Consider the following 25,464-nt stretch of genomic DNA (forward strand, 5'->3'; position numbering starts at 1 on the left):
GAAACCCCATCTCTACTAAAAAATACAAAAATTAGCTGGGCGTGGTAGCATTCACCTGTAATCCCAGTGACTCGGGAGGCCGAGGTAGGAGAATCACTTGAACCCAGGCGGCAGAGGTTGCAGTGAACCCAGATCGCACCACTGAACTCCAACCTAGGCAACAGAGCAAGACTCTGTCTCAAAAATAATAACAATAATAATAATAATTAGTTCTGCAGAGTCATGCATGCCTGTAGTCCAAGCAATCTGGGAAGCTAAGGCCTGAGGATTACCTGAGCCCAAGAGGTCGAAACTGCAGTGAGCTATGATTGAGCCACTGTTCACTGTACTCCAGCCTGGGCAACAGAGCAGACGCTGTCTCTTTAAACACACACACACACACACACACACACACACACACACACGCACGCACAGAGAGGTTCAGAGAGAAGGGAGATGCAAGCAGGGAACTACTGGCCCACTGACAAGAGGCGCTTTGTCCTGAGAACACGAAGGAAGCTCCTACTGCTGTACCCCAGCCCACCAGGTGAGATCCCAGGGATACCTACATCTGGAATCTTCCAGAAACCTGTCCATTGTACCAGGGGGTCTACCTGAGGAAACCAGTTCATTGCTCAGGACTATTATCCCCTCGCTCCACCCCTCACCTTATAACTATTTGTTGAAGGAAGGAAGGAAGAAAGGAAGGACCAGTTTTGCCCCTCACTCTCCTCCTTCTGACAATCATGTCCATCCCCCATCTCTCCTTTCCCATCAAGACCCCAGCAAGTCCCTAGGGTCGGGACTGGGGATATAAAAGGATTAGGAAGGGCCAGACTCAGTGGCTCACACTTGTAATCCCAGCATTTTGGGAGGCCAAGGCAGGTGGATCACCTGAGGTCAGGAGTTCGAGATCAGCCTGGCCAACATGGCAAAACCCCGTCTCTACTAAAAATACAAAACTTAGCCGGGTGTGGTGGTGGGTGCTTATAATCCCAGCTACTCAGGAGGCTGAAGCAGGAGAATAACTTGAACACAGGAGGTGGAGATTGCAGTGAGCTGAGATCGCACCATTGCACTACAGCCTGGGCAACAAGAGTGAAACTCCATCTCAAAATAAATAAATAAATAAAAATAAATAAAAGGATTAGACCTTTCTCACCTTCTGCACCTGGAGCCACTTTTGCCATGTGTCACATACACCCTGTGACATCTTGACAAGGGAGTGAGTCTCAAAGAGGGACGCAACCCCCTCACACCCTAATCAGGAATGAGTGGGTGTGCAGAGGGTTATTTGCACAGAAAACCACAGCAGCTGATAAGCCATGGCTTTTCCAGGACGTGGCCAGAGATGGCTTCTCGCTTTACATATCTGCAGACCATAAAGTAGGTCAAGAATCCGGGGTGAGGGCTTGGCCAGCCCTTTGGTCCCTGCTGCATGTCAATAGGTCCTCTGCCCAGGGCACCATGCAGATACTCAGAGAGCAATCAGCCCTCTGCAGTAGGGAAGCCATTGGCTTCCAGGAAAAAGGACCAGGAATGGGGGCTGCCCTGAAAAACAAGGGGCAGATGCATCGAGGGTGGTGGGGTAAGCTTTCTTCTCCTGGGCATGAGCAACAAGGAGGGAACAGCACTGTCTGTTAGAACTGCCTGTGGCCAGACCCTCTGATCGTGGCCTCTCCCAGACCTGGCCTCCCCAAGAAGGATTCCCCTTTGAAACAAGAACAGAGAATTCAGGCCGGGCACGGTGGCTTACACCTGTGATCTCAACTCTTTGGGAGGCTGAGGCAGGCGGATCACCTGAGGTCAGGAGTTCAGGACCAGCCTGGCCAACATGTCGAAACCCCATCTCTACTAAAAAATACAAAAAATTAGCCGGGCATGGTGGTGGATGTCTGTAATTCTAGCTACTAAGGAGGCTGAGGCAAGAGAATTGCTTGAACCCGGGAGGCAGAGGTTGCAGTAAGCCGAGGTCACAACACTGCACTCCTCCAGCCTGGGTAACTGAGCAACACACTGTCTCAAAAAGAAAAAGCAGAGAATTCGCCAAGTGGTTCTGAGTAGCTGCTCCTCTAACCAAGTGCCTATGGGGAATACAGGGGAATCGGCTCTTCTGCAGGCCTTGCGTCCTCAAAAACTCATTTGAACCTGTAATCCTGGTTTGACCATTGACCTATACACAAGCCAGTTATATCCCTGGGCTTCCCTGTCCCCATATGTGAAAGCAGGGATTAGACAGGTCATCTGAGATTCTCCCTGCTCTAACGCACCTATGTATGTATGTATGTGTGTGTGTGCATGTATGTACGTGAATGGTTGAACCTGTCATTCTGCCCTGGCCTTGTGTGCTCTGCTAGGGGACTCTGTCTAGCACCTAAGAACCAGTCTCTGTTTTTATAAATCATAATTCTTCTCAGAAACCATTCCTGAGCCCTTTTAGTTCCCCTCACTTCCAATTGCACTTTATCTTTCCCAACCACTTGTGCTATGTTTCATATTTTCCATCATTATTACATTGAATCCTCACTATAAATCTAGAGGAAAGGTGATGCGTTTCTCATTTTTCAAAGAAATTGAGACGCAGAGAGCAAGTGACGTGTCCAAGGTCACATAGCTAGTAAGTGGCAGAGCCAAGATTCAAACCCAGGCCTGGTTCATATAAGCCATGCTGCCTTGTGTCAGGGTCAGGGAGGGGGCAGAGAAAGAGAGAGAGAGAGAGAGAGAGAAAACAGCCCTTAGATCCTGCTCAGTGCTGACAATGAAGAATTGATAAAGCAGAGAATCCCGGAGCTGGTTGTCACCAGGGCGTCCACTCCAAGGTTGTTTTTTAAACAAATTTCCTGGCCGGGTGCAGTGGCTCACGCCTGTAATCCCAGCCCTTTGGGAGGGCAAGGTAGGCGGATCACCTGAGGTCAGGAGTTCAAGACCAGCCTGACCAACATGGTGAAACCCTGTCTCTACTAAAAATACAAAAAATTAGCTTGGCATGGTGATAGGTACCTGTAGTCCCAGCTGCTCAGGAGGCTGAGGCAGGAGAATCACTTGAACCTGGGAGGCAGAGGTTGCAGTGAGCTGAGATCGCACCATTGCATTCCAGCCTGGGCAACGAGAGCGAAACTCTGTCTCAAAAATAAAATAAAATGAAATAAAACAAATTTCAGAATGAAAGAATGTTTTATCATGCACTGAAAACTGACTTATTAAGCAGGTAACTGATACCACCAGCCTTGAACATTTTCCAGATCTCATGCCCCTCTTCTGCAGTGTATGGAATGGGAATCTGGGCCTTACCCAAGTTCTTGTCCAGGAATTCAGGCACAGGCAAAGCTTATTTCTGAGAAAAATAGGCGTCTCCAAAGAGTGAGTCTGAAAGTTTGTGTCTCTCGAATTTCATACGTTGAAACTTAACCTTCAATGTGATGGCATTACGAGGTTGAGCCTTTGGAGAGTAACTAGGTCAGGAGAGTAACTAGGTCTCCTGAATGGGATTAGTGCCCTTATAAGAAAGGCCCCAGAGGGCTGGGCGCGGTGGCTCATGCCTGTAACCCCAGCACTTAGGGAGGCCGAGGCAGGCAGATCACCTGAGGTCGGGAGGGAGTTCAAGACCAGCCTAACCAACATAGAGAAACCCCGTCTCTACTGAAAATACGAAATTAGCCAGATGTGGTGCATGCCTGTAATCCCAGCTACTCAGGAGGCTGAGGCAGAAGAATTGCTTGAACCTGGGAGGCAGAGGTTGTGGTGAGCCAAGATCGTACCATTGCACTCCAGCCTGGGCAGCAAGAGCGAAACTCCATCTAAAAAAAAAAAAAAAAAAACAGAAAAGAAAAAGAAAGGTGCCAGAGAGCTGCCTTGCCCCTTCTACCATGTGAGGACACAGCAAGAAGGAGTCCTCCCTGAGGAGTGGGTCCTCACCAGATCCTGAGCCTACCAGTGCCTTGACCTTGGACTCTCCAGGCTCCAAAACTGTGAGAAATACATTTCTGTTTATAAACCACACAATCAGCAGGGCATAGTGGCCCACACCTGTAATCCCAGCACTTTGGGAGGCCAAGGCAGGCAGATCCCTTGAGATCAGGAGCTCCAGACCAGCCTGGCCAACATGGTGAAACTCCGTCTCTACCAAAAGATACAATTAGCTGGGCATGGTGGCACGACCCTGTAGTCCCAGCTACTTCGGAGGCTGAGGCAGGGGAATCACCTGAGCCCAGGAGACGGAGGTTGCAGTGAGCCAAGATCGTGCCATTGCACTCCAGCCTAGGTGACAGAGTGAGACACTGTCTCTAAAACATCATATCATATCATACATCATATCATATCATATCATATCATATCATATCATATCATATCATATCCACCCAGTCTATGGTATTTTGTTATAGCAGCCGGGACTAAGATAGTGGGTTAGAGAAAAAAAAAGGGCTCTTTGATTTTCAGAATAGAGCACCTGTCATCTTTGCTACCTGCTCCTTGACAAAGTGGAAGAGCTGCAATTGAGGCTCCCCCTGCCTAGAAAATTTGATCTTGTTTTTAAGCACCTATTAATTGGCTAGATGTATTTGGAAAAAAAAACAAGCGTTTGTTCAGCAACAGGTAGGCTAAACTTGGGCATCCCCTTAGCTTTCATCAGATTCCCCAGTGCAATGCACCTCCTCAACACACACACAGACTTTTTCCCACTACAAAAGTAATGTGTGTTTGTTAGAGAAAAACAGTGAAATACAGATGAACACAAAGAATGCATCTTAAGTCACTCCGAATCCTGCCACACAGAAATAACTGCTGTTAAATATATGTGTGTGTATCTATTACCAATCTTTTGTTCTTCTGTAGAAAAGCAATTTATTTCAGGTTACATGAAGGATCACTCATGTATGAGTTTGCTTTACCAACTGGACTACTACCTTTATTAGGGCATTTTAATACAGGAAAAACATAAAAAGTATGGCAGTGGAGGGTGTTGATAATGGGGAAGGTTATACATCTGTGGGGGAAAAGGGTCTGTGGAAAAATCCCTGTATCTTCTGCCCAGTGTTAATGTGAACCTAGAAATTCTCTAAAAATTAAATCCTATTTTATAAAAAAGAGAGACATGGCCGAAAATACCAGCTCTGAAATACCTCCAGTTAATACTTTCTTTAAAAAGGTAAAATGCAGGCCAAGTTTGGTGGCTCACACCTTTAATCTCAGCACTTTGGGAGGCCAAGATGGGTGGATTACTTGAGCCCAGGAGATCGAGACCAGCCTGGGAAACATGGTGAAACCCCAACTCTGCAAAAAATACAAAAAAATTAGCTGGGCACAGTGGCATGTGCCTGTAGTCCCAGTTACTTGGGAGGCTGAAGTGGGAGGATCACCCGAGCCCAGAGAGGTCGAGGCTGCAGTGACTCGTCATCATGAGCCACAGCACTCCAGACTGGGCAACACAGCAAGAACTCATCTCAAAAAAATAAATAAATAAAATAAAATAATTTGCTCACAATTACCTTTCTTTTTCTTTTCCTTTTTTTTCTTTTGAGATGGGTTCTCACTGTGTCACCAAGGCTAGAGTACAGTGGTGCAATTATAGCTCAATGCAGCTGTAATTCTGGAAAATCTCCTGGACTCAAGTAATCCTCCTGCCTCAGCCTCCCCAATAGCTGGGAATACAGGCATGCACCACCAAGCCCAGCTTATTGTTTTATTTATTGTAGAATAGGGTCTTCCTATGTTTTCAAGCTGGTCTCGAACTCCTGGGCTCAAGTGATCCTCCTGCCTTTGGCCTCCCCAAGCACTGGAATTACAAGTGTGAGCCACTGTACCTGGCCAAGCAAATTATTTAAATAAATTTTTTAAAACATAGAAAAAGATTAAATGAAAAGTAAAAGTCTTATCTCCATTTCCCACCTACCAGCCCCAGAACCTCAAAGGCAATCCTCTTGGCCTCTATTGCCTCCCTGAGAAAAGTTAATCATACTCCAGCAGATAAACCTAAGTAACATATACACATTCATCATACTATATACATCACTCTGCCCCCTGCTTCTTTTGCTTAATAATGAACTTTCTCCCAAACAGTGAGACAGGAGAGTTCCTTTGACCCTTTTGCAGGTAGGAACTGGAGGGCACCAGCTCTGGGTCCAGTCGGCCATTTAGGCACCAGCAGGGACGAACTTTACTTGCTCGAACCCACTGGGTTCAGCCCCTCGTGAGAGGGAGCACACAGGCAAGTGGGTGCTAGGGCTGGGACGAGTACTTTTGGGCTCTGGCCCCACGGCAGCATGAAGGGGTGTGTTACAATTAAGGTTCTTTTAGGCCAGGCATGGTGGCTCACGACTGTAATGCCAGCACTTTGGGAGGCCGAGGTGGGTGGATCACCTGAGGCCAGGAGTTCAAGACCAACGTGGCCAACATGGCGAAACCCCATCTCTACTGAAAAAAAAAACCCAAAATTTGGCAGGGTGTGGTGGCGGGTGCCTATAATCCCAGCTACTTGGGAGGCTGAGGCAGGAGAATTGCTTGAACCCAGGAGGTGGAGGTTGCAGTGAGCCAAGATCCCACCATTACACTCCAGCCTGTGTGACAGACTGAGCCTCTGTCTCAAAAAAATAAAAGAAAAGAAAAACACAATTAATGCTCTTTTAGCAGTTGCCATCCACAGATGGCTAAGTGTTAGCCAGCTCAGCGGAGAGTCAAGGTGACAGCCTTTTTACACCCTGCCCTCTTGGTACAGAGTTAAGTGTTAACCAGCTCAGTGGAGAGCCAGGGTGACAGCCTTTTACACCCTGCTCTCTTGGTACCCGGGTTCTTGTCAGGTGTCCAGGAAGAATCAGGTCACATAGACTTGAAGGATGATGAATGCGGAGATTTTATTAAGCGGTGGAAGTGGCTCTCAGTGGAAGGGGAGCTGGAAAAGGGATGGTGTGGGAAGAAGGTGATCTTTCCCTGAAGCCTGGCTGGAGATAACCGGGCTCCTCTCTGAAGCCGTGCCATCTGAAGTTAAGCCGTGTCTATCCGTATGCTCCGATGCTCAGTTGCTTCCACTCTTGACGTTCAGCTGCTTGTCTCTTCTCTCCTTCTCAGCTACACCACTCTGCTCGTCTGCCAAGAGCTTTTTATGGGTACAGGGCTGGGGACATGGTGGGCCAGGGTGGTTTTGGAAAAGGCAACATTCAGGCAGGAAAACAGGAATGCATGTTCTCATTTAGGGCCGCAGGTCCAGGCTTGAGGGTGGAGCCATCGCCAGGACCTCGCCCTCTTTTACCCAGTATTTCCCTGCTGCAACAGGGACATACAGTACATACAGATCTTCCTCATCCTTTTACTGTTTTCACAGTACTGCATTGTATGTATATTCTAGAGTTTACTTCACTAGTCTCTACTGCTGAATTATTTGTTCTTACAAACACTACAATGAGCATCCTTATACACATATCTTGGTTTACTTTTTTTTTTTTTTTTTGAGATGGAGTCTTGTTCTGTCACCCAGGCTGTAGTGTAATGGTGTGATCTTGGCTGACTGTAACCTCCACCTCCCAGGTTCAAGTGATTCTCCTGCCTCAGCTTCCCGAGTAGCTGGCATTACAGGTGCACGTCACCATGCCCTGCTAATTTTTGTATTTTCAGTAGAGACAGGGTTTCCCTATGTTGGTCAGGCTGGTCTCAAACTCCCAACCTCAGGTGATCCGCCTCGGCCTCCCAAAGTGCTGGGATTACAGGCATGAGCCACCACGCCTGGTCCTCTTGGTTTATTTTTGCAAGGAAAGCCATAGAGTTGCTGAGTCAAAGGAATTTGCACTTGAAACCTTGATAGATATTGTCAGTTGCTATCCAAAATGGTTGCTCAATGTATACTCCCACTAATAGTGTATGTATGAGTGCCTGTTTCCCCAAATCTAAGCCAGTACTGACCATTACCAAACTTTTATCAAGCCGCTATACATTATATTGTCATTGTATCGGTTAGGGTTCTCCAGAGAAACAGAAACGGTAAGCTATATATATGGAAAGAAAGAGAGATTTGTCAGCCAGGCACAGTGGCTCACGCCTGTAATCCCAGCACTTTGGGAGGCTGAGGACGGTGGATCACGAGGTCAGGAGATCGAGACCACAGTGAAACCCCATCTCTACCAAAAATACAAAAAATTAGCCGGGCGTGGTGGCGGGCGCCTGTAGTCCCAGATACTTGGGAGGCTGAGGCAGGAGAATGGCGTGAACCCGGGAGGCAGAGCTTGCAGTGAGTCAAGATCGTGCCCCTGCACCCTGGCCTGGGCGACAGAGCGAGACTCTGTCTCAAAAAAAAAAAAAAAAAGAAAGAGAGAGAGATTTGTCCGAGAAATTGGCTTACATGACTGGGGGCTGGCAAGTCCAAACTCTGTAGGGCCAGCCCAAAGGCTGTAAATTTTCAGGCGAGAGTTGATGCTACAAACACGAGGCAGAATTTCTGCTTCCTCAGGGAAACCTCAGTTTTGCTCTTAAACTCTTTCAATTAATCAGAGGACACTCACCCAGATTACTGAAGACTTAAAGTCAGCTGCTTGGAGATGTTAACAACATCAACAAAGTACCTTCACAGCAACATCTAGATTAGTGTTTAATTGAATAAGTAGGACTATAGTCCAGCCAAGTTGACACATAAAACTAACCACATGTACACAAAAATATATCAACCTATTCACATCCTTTGTTCACTTTTCTATTGAAGTTTTCTTCTGAGAGCTCTCCTTATATGAGGGATATTACCATATGTCATATGTCTCGAAAATATCTTCCCTGTACCATTTCTCATTCGACTTTGTTTGTGGAATCTTCTGTCAACCAAAACATTTTTATTGCAGCAAATCTATCGATCTTTTCTTTATGGCATCTGAATTTCCTGTCTTGTTAAGAAGGTCACTCAGAGCCACTTTAGGAGCCATGGTAACCATCCCATTTATCAGGTTTTCTAAAAGCTGTCCCTGAATAATAAAGTCACAGAAAAGCAGCAATAGTGTACTTAGACAGCATTAGCCTGGCTCCCATTGAGAGGCCTGGATAAAGTAGGATTTAATGTTATGCCCTGCATTTATCAAGGGTCGATACAACAGCTTTAGAAAAAGCTTTGCGTCTTCCGCAAAGTTGCAATTGCCCATTTTGTTATTCAAGGCCCCTTGCAGAAGGATCCACTTAACAGATTATAGCAGTGTATAACAGGAGAAAATACTCGATGGAAAGGACTCAGGCATACAATGTCAGACAAGTACCATACACCCCACCTGGTTTTCCCCTTTGCCTTGATTGTCAGGAAACCTATAACCAAACACAATGCTCAAACGCAGTAACAACCTAACCTCACTCTGGGATGGAAGATTTGCCCCAGCCCACCCCACCCCTACACACACACCCCTATTCTTTGTATATTTTTTCAGGCAATTTCTTGAACTGCCTTCTCGTACTTGTGGGTTTGTTTGAAACCACCTGTCCCCATTGGAAGTGAATGAGGCACAAATACAGATATAAACAAAATGACTCAAGAAAGAACAAAGACGCTTGTCTGAATGGTGGCAAAGTTGACCCAGAGGTTTCTGTCTGAACCACAATTAACTAACTTTTTTTTTTTTTTTTTTTTTGAGACGGAGTCTCACTCTGTCGCCCAGGCTGGAGTGCAGTGGCGTGGTCTCGGCTCACCACAACCTCTGCCTCCTGGATTCAAGTGATTCTCGTGCCTCAGCCTCCTGAGTAGCTGGGACTACAGGCGCGCATTTTTGCCTGGCTAATTTTTGTATTTTTAGTAGAGACGGGGTTTCACTATGTTGGCAGGCTGGTCTCAAACTCCTGACCTCGTGATCCACTTGCCTTGGCCTCTCAAAATGCTGGGATTACAGGCATGAGCCACCGCACCCGGCCGTAACATTTTCATAAATGCGAAGAGAAACACAAAGAGGGAAGGCATGGTGACAAATCTGGACCCAAAGTTGACATTCAGCTTCTCCAAGCAGTGAAACTGGGAACCAACTTGGAGAAATTTAAGGAATTTTCAGCAGCTGTTGGGTGGCGAGAGAAGCTCTGCTGGGTTATCTGTGAAACCAGAAAATCTGAGACAAGTCTCAGTTAATTTAGAAAGTTTATTTTGCCAAGGTTCAGGACGTGCCCATGACACAGCCTCAGGAAGTCCTGACGACATGTGGCCAAGGTGGTCAGGGCACAGCTAGGCTTTACACATTTTAGGGAGACATGAGACATCAATCAAGATATGTTAAGAAGTGCATTGGTTTGGTCTGGAAAGGCGGGACAACTCAGAAGCAAAGGCAGAAGACTGGAAACATGGAGGGAGCTTCCAGATCACAGATAGTTGCATTCTTTTGAGTTTCCAATGAGCCTTTCCAAAGGAGGCAATCAGATATGCATCTATCTCAGTGAGCAGATGGGTGACTTAGATGAATAGATGGGAGGTAGGTTTGCCCTAAGCAGTTTGCAGCTTGAGCTTTCCTTAGTGATTTTGGGGGCCTAAGATATTTTCCTTTCACATATCTGTCTCATGTGTCCGTGTGAAGAGACCACCAAACAGGCTTTGTGTGAGCAACGTGGCTGTTTATTTCACCTGGGTGCAGGCAGGCTGAATCCGAAAAGAGAGTCAGCAAAGAGCAGTGGGATTATCATTGGTTCTTACAGGTTTGGGGATAGGCAGTGGAGTTAGGAGCAATGTTTTGCGGGCAGGGATGGATCTCACAAAGTACATTCTCAAGGGTGGGGAGAATAGAAAAGAACCTTCTTAAGGGTAGGGGAGATGACAAAGTACATTGACCAGTTAGGGTGGGGCAGAAACAAATCACAATGGTGGAATGTGATCAGTTAAGGCTATTTTCACATCTTTTGTGGCTCTTCAGTTGCTTCAGGCCATCTGGATGTATACGTGCAGGTCACAGGGGATATGATGGCTTAGCTTGGGCTCAAAGGCCTGACAATATCTAAGGTAATGGATTTAGGCAGCTCCATCCCTAACATTTGGGGGCCAGGGCTAGAATACAAATGGAGGCCCACATACCATGTGTCTCAGTATCTTAACATTCTAAAGCAAGCTCAAAAAGCTACAAAATCAAGTGTGTCTAATCTTCCCTCCTGAACAAAATACCTTCTTACCAACCTGGAAGCCAGGTTAGCATGTAGGATTCTCAGAAGTTCCACACTAAAATGTGGCAGCCTAGGGACAAACAACCTCCTGTCCCCAGCCCCCCACCCACAAGCTCCTCTCCTTCTCCTCCCACCCTTGGGCACCCCAACCCCAAAGGAATTTTCAGCAGCTGTTGAGTGGCGAGAGAAGACATGTAACAAGTGCTTTTGGTTTGGTCAGAAGAATGCATGAGGCTCCACATCCAAGCTCTGTCCACAGCCCCTGCAAATCGTCACCCCTTGGCCACACCACAGACCTAGGGATGCCACCATAAGAGCAACCTTGGGGAAAAGTGCAGTCAGTCTACAGGAGGAATAGGAGCCTTTGGCCATGTGGACACCTCGCTTCATGGGGAGGAGCACAGAGAAGGAGCAGGCCTAAGGGAGGTCCTAGGTTTAGGAAGAGATCATTCAACAATGCTTGTAAATAGACCAGCGCTGAGCTCTCCACGATGGCCTAGGTAAAAAGCTCTTAGAGTCATTATCAGTAGATTTTTTTTTTTTTGAGACGGAGTTTTGCTCTGTCACCCAGGCTAGAGTGCAGTGGCATGATCTTGGCTCACCGCAACCTCCACCACCCGGGTTCAAGGGATTCTCCTGCCTCAGCCTCCCAAGTAGCTGGGATTACAGGTGCCTGCCATCACGCCTGGCTAATTTTTGTATTTTTAGTAGAGACAGCATGTTGGCCAGGCTGACTTCAAACTCCTGACTTCAGGTGATCTGCCCATCTTGGCCTCCCAAAGTGCTGGGATTACAGGCTTGAGCCACCGCACCTGGCCATTGTCAATAGATTTCTAATGCTGATAAAAAAAAGACCTAGCAGGGCATTGTGGCTTACACCTGTAATCCCAGCACTTTGGGAGGCCGAGGCAGGTGGATCACGAGGTCAGGAGATCGAGACCATCCTGGCTAACACAGTGAAACCCTGTCTCTACTAAAAATACAAAAATTAGCCAGGTGTGGTGGCGGGCGCCTGTAGTCCCAGCTACTTGGGAGGCTGAGGCAGAAGAATAGCTTGAACTCGGGAGGCAAAGGTTATTGTGAGCCGAGATTGTGACACCGCATTCCAGCCTGGGCGACAGAGAGAGACTCTGCCTAAAAAAAAAAAAAAAAAAGACCATGACCAATATGAGAGGATCATCCTGCCCCACCCCGAGCCAAGGTTCAGCTGAATCTGAAATGCTGAACCCTATGTGCACCCCCGGACCTCAGTGAGCTGGAAAATGTCCCGAGAAGACAGGACTGTTTCCTATGATGAAAATTGATGGAAACTCCTCACCCTGGAAAGGAAAAGGATAAAAGTGAAAAGAATTAGAATCTGTCACATTCTTTAAGACACGAATGAGGGGAACGTGGATGGACTACCCCTCACATTCTGGAATATTCTCTCTAGGAAGCACTTCTTAAAGCCTGAGGAAGTTAGATTCTAGATGTAAATTATTAAAACCACTGCACATAACAAACAAATGAGTTCTCTAACCAGGAGGAAATAAAAGCTGGAGAGGTTCAGGAGGTGGGTGGGGGCACAGTCATGGGACATCCAAAGTCAATGCCATGGACAACCTCATGGTAAGCAGACGCTGATATGCATTCCCTTCCATGTCACTGCCAGAGTTGAACAGTGGCTGGGCCCGACCCAAAGAGGCCCAGCCAATCTCTATGCTTTTACGGTTTAGTTGTTTTTATGTCTTTATGTTTTTACAAGTCCAGCTAAAGTTTGCACCTCCTAGTCCTTTCACACAGTCTTGAATTCTTGTCTTTGGAAAGAGGCCACTGTCCACTTTACACTAAGGCATTTATCCACTCACCCATTCATTCATCCATTCATTGAGGGTACCAGCCTCTGGGTGCATGTAGAGTTCTTCTCTGTTGTTTATGATTTTCTTTCAAACATTTCATCTGAACTTCCAAGCTAATTATCGCCCCTTCTCCCTCCCAGTTCAGACCTCCCAGAGGAAGGCGGCCTTCCCCCTCTTTTCCCAGAATCTGCTTCTCTTTGAAATCTTGTCTTCTCCTTGTTCTAAGTCCAAGTGTGCAAGGCACATACCAGCTATCTGATTTTGTTTTATTCTATAGACTGGATTTTTGGGGCTCTCCCACACAGGAGATCTATGGACATTGTGTTAGTCCCGGTCTTCCGAAGAGGAGATGTGAAGAGGGAATCAAATGTGCAAGGGTTTTACTGAGGGAAATGCCTGTGAGAGAAATAGAGTAGGTGCCAGGGAGGCCAGGGGAGCCTTCAGACCATGATGCAGGTTGGATCCCCGTGAAGGAAAGAGGGCAGAAAGGTTGCATGGAAGCATCCCAGACCACCTTGCAGTATCTGGAGGGTTGTGCAAGGCCATGAGGGAGCCCTTGAGCTAACTCAACCGTTAGAGGGGTCCTGTGTCTCCCAGGAACAGGCCTGCCTCAGTGTCCCTGCTGTGCTCCGCCTTTGGCTGGTAATTGCCTGTAGGAAGCATGACCTTGGTGCAAACATGACAATGATGGCTTTCAGAGCACGGCAGTGGGGACCATCGGTCATGGATGCCCCTGTGGATGGAAGTCTGAGAGACACATTCTCATGGTCACTTCAGATGCTCATTAACTTGGAGGGAGATCTCCTCTGTGCCTTCATGCCCCTTTCAGTGACTTCAATAGAAAATCGAGACTTTAGTGTGTTTGTGTGTCTGGGTGTATGTGTGGGTATCTGTGTGCATGTGTATGTGTTTTTATGTGTGTGTGTCTGTGTCTGTGTTTGTGTTTATGTTTGTGTGTATATCTGTGCATGTGTGCATGTTTGCGTGTATGCTGCATGTCTGTGAATGTGTGTGTCTGTGTGTCGGTGCCTGTGTATATGTGTCTGTGTGTCTGTGTGAATGTGCATATGTATGTGTATATATATATGTGTTTGTGTTATACATGTCTCTGTGTATGCATGTCTGTATATGCATGTCTGTGTGTTTCTGAGTTTCTGTGTGTGTGCATGTGTGTCTGTGTGCATGTCTTTGTATATGTTTCTGTGTGCATGTGTTTGTGTGCACATGTGTCTATGTCTGTGTATATGCATGTCTGTGCGAATGTGTGTTTCTGTGTGTTTGCATGTGTGCTTGTGTCTGTATATGAGGATACATGTTGGTGTACATGTGTTTCCACATGTCTGTGTGCATGTGTGTGTTCTGTGTGTATGTGTGTGTTTGTGTGTACATGTGTGTTTTATGTGTACTATGTGTATTTGTGTTTGTGTGTGTAGATGTTTTTGTGTGTATGTGTATCTGTGTGCATGTGTGTGTTCTTTCTATGTGTGCATGTATGTTTTGTGTGTTTGTGTTGTACAAGTGTGTCTGTGTCTGTATACGTGTGTTTCTGTGTGTACACGTTTTTGTGTCTGTGTGTGCATGTGTGTTTCTCTGTGTGTGCATGTGTTTGTGTGTGTGCCTATGTTTCTGCATCATGTGTGTTCTGTGCATATGTGTTGTATGTGTGTATGTTTATGTGTGTGTGCCTCTGTATGCATCTGTTTCTGTATGTATATGTGTGCTCTGTGTATGCATATGTTTGTGTGTGCATGTGTGTTCTGTGCATGTGTGTGCATGTGTGTTCTGTGCATATATGTGTACATGTGTTTTTCTGTGTCTGTATGTGTCTTGTGCATGTATGTTTCTGTGTCATGTGTGTTCTGTGCATACATGTGTACATGTGTTTTTCTGTGTCTGTATGTGTCTTGTGCATGTATGTTTCTGTGCCATGTGTGTTCTGTGTGTATGTGTGTACATGTGTTTTTCTGTGTCTGTACGTGTCTTGTGCATGTATGTTTCTGTGTCGTGTGTGTTCTGTGTGTATGTGTTGTACATGTGTGTACGTGTATGTGTGTGCTTCTGTGTGTATGTTTCTGTGTGTATGTGTGTTCTGTGTGTGCATATATGTTTGTGTGTGCATGGGTGTTCTGTGTATGTGTGTACATGTTTTTCTATGTCTGTATGTGTGTGTCAGTGTCTTGTGTGTGTGTGTTTCTGTGTGTGTGTGTGCATGTTGTGCACATGCGTGCTTAGAAAGAATCCACTCCCACAGCCACAAGGACACCTCTGAGGCCAACTCACATCACAGGCCCTCAGCTCTCTCTCTATTGTTCCCTTCCAGACCATCCTGGTGGGTGACAGTGGTGTGGGAAAGACGTCTCTGCTGGTTCAGTTCGATCAGGGCAAGTTCATCCCCGGCTCCTTCTCGGCCACTGTGGGCATCGGATTCACGGTAAGCACTGGCCGGCACTGCCAGCTCTGGGCCTGGGCTCAGGACCCCAGCGTGTTTCTGTTGAGTGCCAGCAGGAAACAGGTGGACACTCGCATTGGATCATTCAAGGAGGATTAAGGAGAAGACTGTTCCCCAAGGTGTAGGAGGGTGTTGGGTGACCAGGAGGGAGGGTATACTGCCCCTGGGTAGTCCAGGAACTCCGCCCACCTCTAGCCTCAAGCAGGAAGGGAAGGCACCCTCACCAGAACCCAGGGACAAAGCAGGCTGCTGGGTGAGCTGCCTGGCAGGAGCTGCGTGGGACTTTCAGTGGAGGGACACAGCAGCCCATGGGAGCCCCCCAGGGAGGCAGCCAGGAGAACAATCCCCTGTCCCACCTTGCTCTCCTCCTGCTCCCCATCTCCTTCTGGGGCTCCACATTGGATGAACGCAAGTGGAAGCCAGAAAGCAAAAAATATTTTAATATGGGATAGCTCAGGTCAGCCCTCCAAGGCAAGAAGATCTGGAGGGACAAAGGGACGACAAAGTTTTCAGCACAGTCCAAACTTAGCAGTCACACGGGTCTCAGGGAGCTGGCAGGCCCAGGTTACAGTTCCGTGTTTAGTCCTCGGTAAAATGGTAAAAGGGCAGCTCGGGTTAAGGAAGCCCAGTGCCCTCGGCTTTTTCTGCCCGCAGCCCCTCTGCGAGACAAGGGATCCCTCCTTTACCACACATCCCATCTCCCCGCGTTGTCCCGTGCCTGCGGCTGCAGCTGCCCTTGAATTCCTGGGAAGACCTTGGGAGAGGGTTCCACTCCTCTCTCGGGCTGTGGCAGGAAGAGCAGGGCCTTCCCTTGGGACTCCAGAATCCTAGCATCTCAAGATGGGGAAGAGCAAACATCTCTTCTTGGACAACGCGGATGTTTGGGAACCTCTGAGACCAGAGCACAGGGCCTGTGAGATCACGCTCAGGGTCAGGACGCAGCAGTGCCACACTGATGGGAAGAGAGAGAGGAAAACTCAGAAAAATGGGCTTGCCCACTGGGTCACAGCCAGGAAGGCAGGGGTTCAGAATGAACATGGCTTCTGCATGACCTTCCAGGAGGCAAAGCGGAAGTGAGTGCCTGGTTCGGGTGTGTTCTGGGGCCTAGAATCGGCCCTGAAACACCAGTTCCCAGGGCTCTCCCCAGACTGGGACCGGCTGGGCTCTGGTAGTGCTGAATAGGGAAGGGCTGAGACCCAGGAGGCCAAGGCTACCTGGCAATCCCTGAGGTCTGGGACCAGGCTGCCATGAAGCAAACCAGGATGACCTGGTGCCAGGCGTCACCCACCCCAGCCCAGGCCCAGTCTGCTCTCAGCAGCCAGGGCACACCCTGCCCTCAGGGTCACACCCGCATCTCCTCACCCACCCTTCTGCCTGTCTGGTGAGGAAGGAAGAGAGTGGGGTGGATGTGGCTGTGGACATGCAAAGTCTGACTCACGTTCCACAGACCACAGAGGTGAGATCTCCAAATTTTGCCGCTAGCTTGGCAAGAAAATTGAGGCCGATTTCCTGTGAAGGAAAAAGAAAGTGTGTGGTCAAACTGTTTGTCTAGCCTGAGATGAGACACACTGGGCTTTCCCACTGACCTCAGGGTGGGCCTCCTAGAGCCTGGGCTGCCTGCTTGGTACCAGCCAGCACCCGATGTTCTGGTGCATCTCAGGACAAACCTGTTGCCTGCTTACGCTGAGTGAGGACCTGAGCCCCTGGCCAGAAACTCAGCCTGGGGACACCTGAGCAAAGAACTGGTGGACATCGGGGTCTCCTCCAGATATCAGCGGTCTGGGGGTCCCCGGAGAGCCAGGCTACAAGACACTTGTTTACCCATCTGTCCTTCTCACGGAGATTTGAGATATGGCATGGATAAGGGCCCTGCCGCTGGCCAGGCTGTAGCCTGCAACTCCTGCATGATGGGAAGGGAGGCAGGTGCTGCCACAGGCTCCGCTCAGGAGGCTGAGTGCCGCCCAGGTGGCAGGGGAGGGACAGAGCCCCTGGTCTCCCACTTTGGAGGAGCCAGAGGTGAGCAGGGTGACTACCTCGGGCATGCCTTCACCCATAAACTACCAGGCCCATCGCCTTCTGGAAGTGGGACCTGCCCAGGTCCTGTGTAGATGCCTCTCAGTCAAGACCTTCCCTAAATTCTCCACTACCAGCCCCATCAAACTGGCTGTGGGGGTCGTGCTGATGGGGTTATGGCACACTGATGTCGATGGGGTTCACACAGGGGTCTTTCCAGTCCACCACAGTTCAGGTCCTCCTTGTTACCTCTCTCCTCAGTTTCCCCCAAATTCCCTAGTCTTGCCTAAACACTGATGCAAAATTCCTCTTTCAAAACCTTCACTCAGGCCAGGCGTGGTGGCTCACACCTGTAATCCCAGCACTTTGGGAGGCCGAGGCGGGCGGATCACTTGAGGCCAGGAGTTCAAGACCAGCCTGGCCAACATGGCAAAACCCCTTCTCTACTAAAAATACAAAAACGTTTGCCAGGCGTGGTGGCACACGCCTGTAATCCCAGCTACTTGGGAGGCTGAGGCAAGAGAATCACTTGAACCTGGGAGGCGGAGGTTGCGGCGAGCCAATATCATGCCATTGCGCTACAGCCTGGGCAACAGAGTGAGACTCCATCTCAAAACAACAACAACAAAAAAAAAAAAACACCTCACTCTGCTCATCCCCCACCTGAACATTCACGGTTCACTATTACCTTCCAAATAAAGTCTGAATCTCTCATCTGTTGGTCAAGCTGTTGCACAGTTTAGACCAGTGGTTTTCGAACACTCCTTCAGCGCACATAAAAGCCTCCAGGGGGAAGCTCATCTGAAATGCAAATTCTAAGCTCCCTCATACACATGCTGCTTCAGTAAAACCACGTGGGGGGCCCAGAATCTGGGGGTTCTGACCCAGGGGGTCCATGCGCCACATTTTGCAAAACATGAGTTGAGGCCTTGTCCCTCCAGTCTCTGCCCGGGTCTCCTTCCCACATCCCGACCCTGTGCTCTTTGGGCTGTGCTGTTCCCCAGCTCTGAAGTTTTCTGCCATCGACCTGGATAGCAGGGAGTCCCCTGCCCCCATCTCTGCAGGTGTGATTTGAGGTGTGTGTGGTGAGGTGATTTGAGGGGTGTGGCAGGTGTGTGGTGTGATTTGAGGTGCGTGGTGAGGTGTGTGGTGTGATTTGAGGGGTTAGGTGTGTGTGGTGTGAGTGTGTGTGTATGGTGAGGTGTGTGTGTCTGGGGTGTGATTTGAAGTGTGTGTGGTGTGAGGTGTATGTGGTGTGATTTGATGTGTGTGTATGTGGCGTGAGATGTGTATGGTGTGATTTGAGGGGTGTGTGGTGTGACGTGTGTGGTGTGATTTGAGGTGTGTGTGATGAGGTGTGTGGTGTGATTTGAGGGGTGAGGTGTGTGTGGTGTGAGGTGTGTGTGGCGTGATTTGAGGTGTGTGTGTGTGGTTTCAGGTGTACACAAGAGCCCCCCCATCTTTCAACACGCATGAGGGTCTGTCTCACTGACACTTGGTACCTCCACTATCAGCAGGGCTGCATGACAATGACAGTGTGATCTGTGATCAGGAGGGTAGGGGTGTCTATTTGGGGGTATTGTGGGGGTGTGCGTCTCAGATCTGGAGGCAATAAGAGGTGTTGGGGGTCATTTATAGGGTGATATACACATTTGGTGATGGTGTGAGGCATGGGGTCCATTGGAGAGGCAGGTGTTTGCACAGTGATGTGGCACAGGTGTTGATGGTGTGAAATAAACTGTGCCTGGAGCTGCACTGTGGTGACAGGAGTGTGTGTTTGGAGTGAAATGAGGTATGTGTGTTTGAGGGTCATGTAAGATGTGTATGTATGTGGTATGATGGTAGGTGTGTTTGTTTATAGTATGAGGTGCACATTTGTGGCATAATACAAAGTTGTGTGTGGGACATGTTATGAAGTGTGTGTTTGTGGTATAATGTAGGGTGTGAGGCATGTGTATTTATGGTATGATGTGAGGCAGATGTGTGTGGTATGATGTAGGGTGTGTGTGTATATTTGTGGTGTGATTTGAGAGTGTATGTGTGTGATGTGAGGTGTGTGTGATTTGAGGGATGTGTGTGGTGTGAGGTGTGTGGTGTGATTTGAGGTGTGTGTGGTGAGGTGTGTGGTGTGATTTGAGGGGTGAGGTGTGTATGGTCTGAGGTGTGTGTGTGTGGTGAGGTGTGTGTGTCTGTGGTGTGTTGTGGGTGGGTGCACACGTGTGAGTGTCTGTGGTGTGTGTCTGGGGAGAGACACAGGCTACCACAGCGCATACACAGCCTCAGAGTGAACGTTAGGAGGCCCAGGTTTCCTCCCCAGAGACCACACGGATCCCTTAGTGAGTCCCTATTCTGCACAGCCCCTGTTCCCTGTTCTGAATGTCTTAGACCCTAACCCACTTCTGACTCACCCGAGGCTGCCCTTGAACACCCTACAGGACATTACAGTGGCCCTGGGGACAGTGTACGCACCCTCCAAGTATGACATTACCCACATACCACAGACCCAGCAGGCCTGCAGCCCCTCTCCCCATGTTCAAAGACTTCTTCCCTAGGTCAGATTCCTCCATCCAGACTAGTGCAGCAACGCAGCAGGGAAGTGCTTCAGGCCACTGCTCCTTCTGGATGATTCGTGCTAATGTTCAACCTTCTGTATTCCAAACCCACCATAGGACAAAGAGGGCCTTGGAGCCAACAACGTGAACCACAGCTGGAGGCTAGAAATCTGAACTCAAAGTACCAGCAGGGCCACGCTCCCTCTGAAGGCTCCAGAGAAGGGTCATTCCTTCCTCTTCCATGGCCTTGGTGGCTCCCAGGAGTCCTTGGCATTCCTTGGCTTGCAGCCACACTCCTCCCATCTTGCCTCTGTCTTCACCTGGATGTCTTTTCCCTGTGTCTCTTTCTTCTTATGACACCGGTCATACTGGATTAATGGCCTGCCCTATATTAGTATAACCTCATCTTAATGAGTGATATCTGCAATGACCACATTTCCAAGTAAGGGCATGATCTGAGGTACTGGTGGTTCAGACCTCAACCTGTCTTTGGGGGACAGAATTCAACCCATAACAGCATGGTTTACAGTAGAAGGTGAGCATGAGGCATGCCCTGTCCCCTCTCTCATTCTTCCTCCACCATTTCCCTCCTGCAATGAAAACCCGCATCCTGGCTGGGCACAGTGGTTCACACCTGTAATCCCAATACTTTGGGAGGCTAAGGCAGGCGGATCACCTAAGGTCAGGAGTTCAAGACCAGCCTGGCCAACATGGTGAAACCCTGTCTCTACAAAAATACAAAAATTAGCCAGGCATGATGATGGGCACCTGTTATCCCAGCTACTTGGGAGGCTGAGGCAGGAGGAGAATGGCTTGAACAGCCCGGGAGGCGGAGGTTGCAGTGAGCCAAGATCGTGCCACTTACTCCAGCCTGGATGACAGAGCTCCACCTCAAGAAAGAAACAAAAAGAAAGAAAGAAAGAGAGACAGAGAGAAAGAAAGGGAAAGAGAGAGAGGAAGGAAGGAAGGAAGGAGAGAAAGAAAGAGAAAGAAAGAAAGAGAGAAAGAAGAAAGAAAGAAAAAGAAAGAAAGAAAAAGAAAGGAAGAAAGAAAAAGAAAGGAAGGAAGGAAGAAAGAAAGAAAGAAAGAAAGAAAGAAAGAAAGAAAGAAAGAGAAAGAAAGGGAAAAGAAGGAAGGAAAAGAGAGGGGAAGGAAGGAAGGCAGGCAGGCAAAGAAAGAAAGAAGAGAGAGAGAGAGAAAGGAAAGAAGGAAAGAAGGAAGGAAGGGAGGGAGGGAGGAAGGAAGGAAGGGAGGGAGGAAGGGAGGAGAGGGGAGGGGAGGGAAGGGGAGAGAAAAGACCGCATACCAGGCCAGGTGCGGTGGCTCACGCTTGTAATCCCAGCAATTTGGAAGGCCAAGGCAGGCGTATCGCCTGAGGTCAGCAGTTCCAAACCAGCCTGTCCAACATGGTGAAGTTCTCTACTAAGAATACAAAAATTAGCCAGGCGTGGTGGCGTGCACCTGTAGTCCCAGCTGCTCCAGAGGCTGAGGCAGGAGAATTGCTTGAACCTGGGAGGCAGAGGCTGCAATGCGCCAAGATCCCGCCACTGCACTCCAGCCTGGGCGACAGAGTGAGACTCCGTCTCCGGGAGCCCACGGCATTGAGCAAACCTCGGCATTATTTGCAGCAAGAGCCTCTGGCATCCAAATAGCAACCAACACCACGCCTCTGTAGTGTGCTGCGCAGCCTCCACACTCCAGTCTGAGGCTCCCTGTTTGAGTCCCGCCCTATGCCCAGCTGAGGTTATAGCACGCTCACCTCCAGAAGAGGTAACCCAAGCTCTTTACTCTACTGGAGATCACCTCTGTCCCCACTCTGGGCGCTTCTCCCAGCTGACAGAAAATACCTCCAGCTGATGTCAGAAAATACAGGGCTGGAGGCTGGCGTACAAAGTCAGTCCCCACAGGCCTATGGTGGCCCATAAGCCACGTCTACCCCTGCTCCTCACCTCCACACCTAAGTTAAGAATTGCAGGCCGGGCGCAGTGGCTCACGCCTGTAATCCCAGCACTTTGGGAGGCTGAGGTGGGCGGACCGCCTGAGGTCAGGAATTTGAGACCAGCTTGGCCAACATGGCAAAACCCCGTCTCTACTAAAAATACAAAAAGAAAAAATAGCCGGGCCTGATGTCGCGCACCTGTAATCCCAGCTACTCCGGGAGACTGAGGCGGGAGTATAGCTTGAACCCGGGAAGCAAAGGTTGCAGTGAGGCGAGATCGCACCACTGCACTCCAGGCTGGGCGACAGAGTGAGACTCTGTCTGAAAAAAAAAAAAAGTGCAGGTACCCCTCTCCAGCTCTCCCCTCCCTACACATCCCTCAAACCGTCCCGCTGTAATGCACCCGCCCTGTTCCTTGGTAACTTGAAGCTGCTTATAGAATGTGGAGATGGGGGTAATTGAAAGGTCGGCCCAGGCCACAGAGCCCCTGAGCTCTGCTACCGGCAACCCCAGCTGCACTCCCCACTCTCTGTCACCAGGAGCTGCCGGGTGCCTGGGATATCCTGGCAGCTCTGCTCAAAATGATCTACGACTTCATGAATTTATTTGGCTCCTCCTCGGGGCCAGGGTGAGTGTCATGGGTTAATAAGGCCGGCCCCGCCTTCAGGAGCGGTCCACTGGGAGATGTGTGCTGCGCAGCCCTCTTGCGAAAGCTCTCCCCTGGTGGGACATTCTGGGCACAACCAACAGGCCGGGGGAAATGAGAGGTGATCCATACTAAAGGGTCAAAGTCCCCGCACCAGGCAGAGGCCCCAAAACACCGCAGCGTACATGTGCTGCAAGGCGAGTACGGGTTGGTAAACAAAACTATATTCAGATGAGCTCGGGCCGGGTGACTTAACAGATGAGGAAGTGTCTCGGGGCCATCGGCGGAGGCGCAGCCCAGGGGTCCCCAGCTCCCCGCCTCGCCACCTGGGGACAGCCCACGGCCCGGGGCTCGGGCGCCGCCTGCTGTCGCGGTGCGCAGCGACTACGGGAACTCTTCCGCAGCAGACGGGGTCCCCGCGGCCCGCTCCCCCAGGGGCAAGCAAGCGACCACAGGGGACCGGTCCCGGGGCTGGATGTGGCTCATGTCCGAAGCGCACGGAGCCGAGCCGGTGTTGCTCAGGGAGGCTGCCCGCCCCTTCACGCAGACCCTGCGGCTCTGCGTGCCCTCAGGGAACAGCAAGGTCCGAGCCGGTGTCGTCGAGGGGGCGACGGGACGGAGGGAGGAGCCTGAGGGGTCCCGGTCGAGGGAGGGGAGGAGTGGGCGGGGCGGGGGTGGGGCCGTTCCTGCGCTCTCCTTCGCCTGCGGGCCGGCACTGCTCACCTCTCGTCCAGGGACATGACGGGCACGCCAGGCGCCGTTGCCACCCGGGATGGCGAGGCCCCCGAGCGCTCCCCGCCCTGCAGTCCGAGCTACGACCTCACGGGCAAGGTGGGTGGGCCTCTTCCGTGAGACCCCCGCCCTCCTCGGCGCTAGCCCCTTCCTGGCTGCGTCTGGGTTGGACTCAGCCCTTCCCCCAGGCAGCTGCGTCTCCCAGAGGAGGGAGGGAGAGAGGGTCAGGACACAGCCTCTGGGGCCGTCCCAAGCTCTAGGTGTCTCTGCTGGCTTGGTGGGGGCGGGTCGCGGAAGATCGCAAAAACTGAGTGATCCCCCCGCCGGCCCCAACTCAGTTCTCTTCTGCCACACTCTGGCAAATATGAGCCCCCGGGAGCCCATGCTTCTTGGTGAGGGTTAAGCGCGCAACTCTCGGGGCTCAGGCTGGGAAGGGCTGGGAGATGGGGACCGAACGGAGACTCGGAGAGGACGTCCCCTGCTGGCAGAGGAACTGGCGTTAATGCCATTTTCCGAGCTAAGCTCTTAGTTGAGATCTGACATCCAGGTTTAAGGCCTGATGTCCCCCAGCTGCTCCCCTCCCATTCCACCCGCTGGAGGCACTGCCTCCCACCTTCCTCCCTGCAGTCGGAAGCCGCTCCTCCCAGAAGGATGTTGCCAGCCGGCCTGCAGGTCACTTGGGAATTTTTCGAACCTGAGAAAGATTTCAGTGGTTGGTCTTTCGCATCCCGCACTTGAGAGAGCTCCAGGGCTGCTCTCTGGGGCTTGCTCCCTCTACAGGGGTGTCCTGTATGGAAACAGGTAGGGACAGCAGTGGACTGGTCTGTCGCCTTCCATCTGTGTCCTTGGAGTGAGCGGGTACCAGAAACTGAAAGAACTGCTGAGGGAGCCTAGAGCTTCCACTCTTCCTCTGCAGGGTTGGGGATGGAGTGAGGGCTGTCCTGGATTCCGCTGCATGGCCTTGAAGGAGACCTGCCTCTCTCTGGGCCTCGGTTTCCTCCCCGACACCAGGGCTCACCCTTGCTGGGAGCCTCAGCCTCCACCCCAGTGTTTCGGGGGAAGCCACCCTGCAAGTCATCCGCCCAGAGCCGTTGAGATAGGCGTCCTGTGTGGGCTTGTGGCAGGAAATGGGCCCCTGCACCCTCGGAGAGGAGGAGCTGCTGTTGGCCAGGCCCCAGGCTGAGGGGGACTGCCTGACCTTGTTGCCCTGCAAACCAGCTGGGTTGTTTGCCTAGGAGGTGGCCAGGCTAGGCAGCTGTTTGTGTTTGGTGGAATCACCGAGCTGGGTGGGTAGCTGGCATCGTTTGCTCAAGGCAGCTGTGATCTGTAAAGTACACAAAGACTGGCCCTCCCTCCCTCCTTCCTGCTCCAGGGCTGGGACCCAGGAGCCAGGGAGGAGTGCAGGCTCCAGAAAGCTCCTATCCCCCACCCCTTCATCTGTTCCCTGGCCAAGCGGCATTGGCCGGAGAGTTGGTCCCCAGCCTCCCCGGGCCTGCCCCAGGGGAGTGAGTCCAGGACCCTCTGAGAAAGCCTGGCAGGAGCTCCTTGGACCAGACTAGGGGTGATGTGGCCCACAGGCAGACAGTTCCCACCCTGGGCCACTCTTCCCTGGGTCTTAGGTGATTCACCACGATGATGGGCCCTAGCCATTAACAGACTCTAGAAATACCTCAAAGACATTATCCCTCCTCCTTCTACCCACTATGGAAACCATGCCACAGAAAGGTTAAGGAATCTTCCTAAAGTCACACAGTAGGCCATTTACAAATCAAGACCCATCCTTCATACCCCTTCTGCTCAGCCACCCCTGCCTCTCCACCAGAGTTAACTAATGCCAGTACCCCATGCCCACAACAGGAATGCCTTTGGGCTCCACTGTCAATTTCAGAGCCTCAAAAATAATTCAAACCTAGTCCCTGCTTAACCCATTAAGCCACCTAACCAGCAGCTGGGAAATTCCAGCATTGGATCTAGACCCCTGTTATCCAAGATTGGAGAACAGTGGGACAAAGTGCTCCTCTCCACCATTCCTGCGTGTCCCTGGGGAAGATGAGCAGAGCAGAGCCAGACAGTAAAGGAGAGGGCCACGCCCCCTCCACAGGTTACCTCCTTGGTACTCCTGCCCGCACTACCCACAGCAACCCCGGGATGCCGATCTGCAGCCACATGTCCCATGTGGGAGGTTTCTGCTGAAAGAACTTCCAACTACACATCTCCCCACTTCAGTA

The 25,464-nt window shown here is 50.4% G+C and overlaps 1 protein-coding gene and 1 long non-coding RNA gene across 6 annotated transcripts in view, besides 7 other annotated features; one reads left to right on the top strand and one right to left on the bottom strand.

Annotated features, from left to right (window-relative positions):
- The window catches only part of RAB37 (RAB37, member RAS oncogene family), a 76,205-nt gene that overhangs the window by 42,900 nt on the left and 7,841 nt on the right, over positions 1-25,464 (top strand). For 2 of the 5 annotated variants that reach the window (NM_001006638.3, NM_001163990.2), the window contains exon 1: positions 23,226-23,335. In NM_001006638.3, the coding sequence (NP_001006639.1) occupies positions 23,243-23,335 (93 nt within the window). In that variant the 5' untranslated portion in view covers positions 23,226-23,242. Of the gene's footprint in view, positions 1-15,225; positions 15,337-22,529; positions 22,702-22,757; positions 23,088-23,225; positions 23,336-25,464 lie in introns of those variants that run through there. The other 3 variants (NM_175738.5, NM_001330471.2, NM_001163989.3) reach the window with 3 other exon arrangements.
- On the bottom strand, positions 15,747-23,309 carry LOC124904057 (uncharacterized). Its single transcript, XR_007065905.1, has 3 exons — positions 23,228-23,309; positions 16,721-16,863; positions 15,747-16,306 (listed from the first exon to the last, which is right to left on the bottom strand). It is a non-coding gene; the product is annotated as an uncharacterized LOC124904057 (long non-coding RNA).
- Positions 22,412-22,471: an enhancer, noted in NCBI's record as "active region_12715". NCBI's record gives its function as "activates an Ori minimal core promoter by ATAC-STARR-seq in GM12878 lymphoblastoid cells {active_cell/tissue: GM12878}" and the evidence as "EXISTENCE:reporter gene assay evidence [ECO:0000049][PMID:35858748]".
- Positions 22,712-22,881: a silencer, noted in NCBI's record as "silent region_8936". NCBI's record gives its function as "represses an Ori minimal core promoter by ATAC-STARR-seq in GM12878 lymphoblastoid cells {active_cell/tissue: GM12878}" and the evidence as "EXISTENCE:reporter gene assay evidence [ECO:0000049][PMID:35858748]".
- Positions 22,858-23,581: an enhancer, noted in NCBI's record as "H3K27ac-H3K4me1 hESC enhancer chr17:72733027-72733750 (GRCh37/hg19 assembly coordinates)". NCBI's record gives its function as "activates a minimal SCP1, AML or CMV promoter by ChIP-STARR-seq in naive H9 embryonic stem cells {active_cell/tissue: H9 hESC(naive)}" and the evidence as "EXISTENCE:reporter gene assay evidence [ECO:0000049][PMID:30033119]".
- Positions 22,932-22,981: a silencer, noted in NCBI's record as "silent region_8937". NCBI's record gives its function as "represses an Ori minimal core promoter by ATAC-STARR-seq in GM12878 lymphoblastoid cells {active_cell/tissue: GM12878}" and the evidence as "EXISTENCE:reporter gene assay evidence [ECO:0000049][PMID:35858748]".
- Positions 23,182-23,381: a silencer, noted in NCBI's record as "silent region_8938". NCBI's record gives its function as "represses an Ori minimal core promoter by ATAC-STARR-seq in GM12878 lymphoblastoid cells {active_cell/tissue: GM12878}" and the evidence as "EXISTENCE:reporter gene assay evidence [ECO:0000049][PMID:35858748]".
- Positions 23,852-23,941: an enhancer, noted in NCBI's record as "active region_12716". NCBI's record gives its function as "activates an Ori minimal core promoter by ATAC-STARR-seq in GM12878 lymphoblastoid cells {active_cell/tissue: GM12878}" and the evidence as "EXISTENCE:reporter gene assay evidence [ECO:0000049][PMID:35858748]".
- Positions 24,306-25,028: an enhancer, noted in NCBI's record as "H3K4me1 hESC enhancer chr17:72734475-72735197 (GRCh37/hg19 assembly coordinates)". NCBI's record gives its function as "activates a minimal SCP1, AML or CMV promoter by ChIP-STARR-seq in primed H9 embryonic stem cells {active_cell/tissue: H9 hESC(primed)}" and the evidence as "EXISTENCE:reporter gene assay evidence [ECO:0000049][PMID:30033119]".

The sequence above is a fragment of the Homo sapiens genome, chromosome 17 (genome assembly GCF_000001405.40).
Source record: "Homo sapiens chromosome 17, GRCh38.p14 Primary Assembly".
In the NCBI taxonomy this organism is placed as follows: Eukaryota; Metazoa; Chordata; class Mammalia; order Primates; family Hominidae; genus Homo; species Homo sapiens.